The sequence below is a fragment of the Homo sapiens genome, chromosome 2 (genome assembly GCF_000001405.40).
Source record: "Homo sapiens chromosome 2, GRCh38.p14 Primary Assembly".
Lineage (NCBI taxonomy): Eukaryota > Metazoa > Chordata > Mammalia > Primates > Hominidae > Homo > Homo sapiens.
In genome coordinates this window covers 91,456,573-91,458,925 of record NC_000002.12, presented here as the reverse complement: position 1 = coordinate 91,458,925, position 2,353 = coordinate 91,456,573, and positions in this window count along the sequence as shown.

The window sequence follows — 2,353 nt, the reverse complement described above, 5'->3', positions numbered from 1 at the left end:
CACACCTCCACCAGTCTTGACATCCCCACAATAACCCTAGACATTGACAAATGTCTCCTGGGGAAAACTCTCCGCAAGTTGACAGTCAAAGTTCTGGAAATATTGGAACTGTCAATTGAGATTTTATGTTATCCAAAACAAATATTTTTCTTTGTTTTTAAACATCTACTTCCATCTACTTATCTACTTATTTTTACTTTTATTTGTAACTTAATTCCATGAAGGAGAGAGAGTGCATTTTCTGTTATGCTAAATTTTTGAAGAATGTATTGATTTTTTCTGACCTGATATATGGATGATATGTAGATAGTACATGTTTGTATTATCAAATTTCAGGACGATAATAAAATAAATACTTATAATATTTATATTGTCACTGTATATTAGTTATTTTCTTTCTTCACTACAGGAGTTTTTCAACCTATAGGCTATTTTTCAATTCTAGGTTATCCAGTAGATTTTGAAATGTTATGATTAATTATCTACTTCTCAAGCATTCATCTTTGCAAATGAAACAATCCCAAGCTCTTATAATGCACATCATATAAAGGGCAGATTAGTCAATATATGGTTCAGAAATAATTATGTAATATTTATAAGAAAATTACAAATTTAGATCCTTAACTCAGATAACAATAATCCAAATTAAAATTTGATTTCATTACATAATGTAAAATGACACCAGAATACTAGTAAAAATGTAGATAAGTTTATATAATCTTTTTCAGCTGTAGGACTTCATTAGCATAAATTCAAATACAGGAATCAAAGTAAGATTGAGACCTATTGTCAAAGGTTAAAATGTACACATTATAGGGGCATGATTAAACTAATTTAAAGCATAATATCATGGAGAAATATTGCAAAACATACATTTTACTGAATTAATTGTTAATATCTAATCATTATGTGAGAACAAAATTAAAGAGTAGCTACACACCCACACACCGACACACAAGTGCAATATTGTCAAATAAAAGATGTGCAGCTACACTAGAAATCACACCTGTGTTTTCTTCACAGAAGAGTAAAGATTAAAAATCACAATAATATTTATTGTACATATGGAGGTAAAGATACTCAAAATATTACCCTAAAATACATTTTTTTTGAGATGGAGTTTTGCTTTTATTGCCCAGGCTGAAGTGCAATGGCACAATCTTGGCTCACTGCAACCTCAGCCTCCCAGGGTCAAGTAATTCTCCTAGCTCAGCCTCCCAAGTAGCTGAGATTACAGGCATGCACCACCACACTTGGCTAATTTTTTGTATTTAGTAGAGACGGGGTTTCCCCATGTTGGTCAGGCTGGTCTCCAACTCCTGACTTCAGGTGATCTACCCACTTCAGTCTCCCAAAATGCTGGGACTACAGGTGTTCGCCTGGGCAGCTTTTTGACGTATTTCAAGATGGCTGCTCGGAAGACTGGAGGTAGAGAAAATCTGCATTGATATAGACAGGCTTTCCCTGAGATACTCCCTTGTCTGGGTTTAGGAAAGATTAACTGAGCCTGGCACGTTTATATTTCTAAAAACCATTTCCAAAAACCATTTCCTATCTATACTTCCCAAGGGAGGGCTTCTCCCTGTGAGGTTTCATCCATGTAACAAGACCACCTCTGCTGCCAGACTCCTCTTTCTTCCTTGTCGTCACCTGTCTTCCGCAAAGCCTGATTTACCAACCTACAGCTCTGTGTTTTCTGTAACCTCAAGACAGCATAGGCCTGTTGACTACCTTGCCTTTCCTGGAGTTTTTATATATATAGTATATATTTGTATATCTATTTATAATATACAAATATTTGTATAGATATATTTATATATATTATGTAAACTCCAAGTGCATACTTGTGCACATATCTGTAAACCTTTTTTTCCTGTTAATTTGTACATTATCAGTTTGTTTTATAGACTCAAATAATTAAAGCTTCAAGGGAAAAATTTAAAATTTCCTATAGAGAAAAGACAAATATGTAGGTGACAAATAATATTTAGAGTGTAAGACTCTTTTTAAAGGTATATTTGCAATTTGTGTCAAAACATTTAAATATACATTTGTTATTTTAACTATAAAATTTCAAATAATTTAAGCCAAATACATAGTATATGCAGAAAATTTAGCAATATATCTATGTAGCACCTCACTGTGCATTACTGTAACCAGCCATCTAATATAAAGAATTAATTAAGGTAGCACCTACTTTTCAAATAGCGCATTTTTTCACAGACCTATTAAATGAGACAAATAACATTTAGACTTTACTTTTAAATGTGCAGAATAGTAGTTTTCAGCAGATGGTTTATTTTAGCAAATTCCATCTTCACATTGTGCTATGCTTTTATGAGTTCCAGCTGTT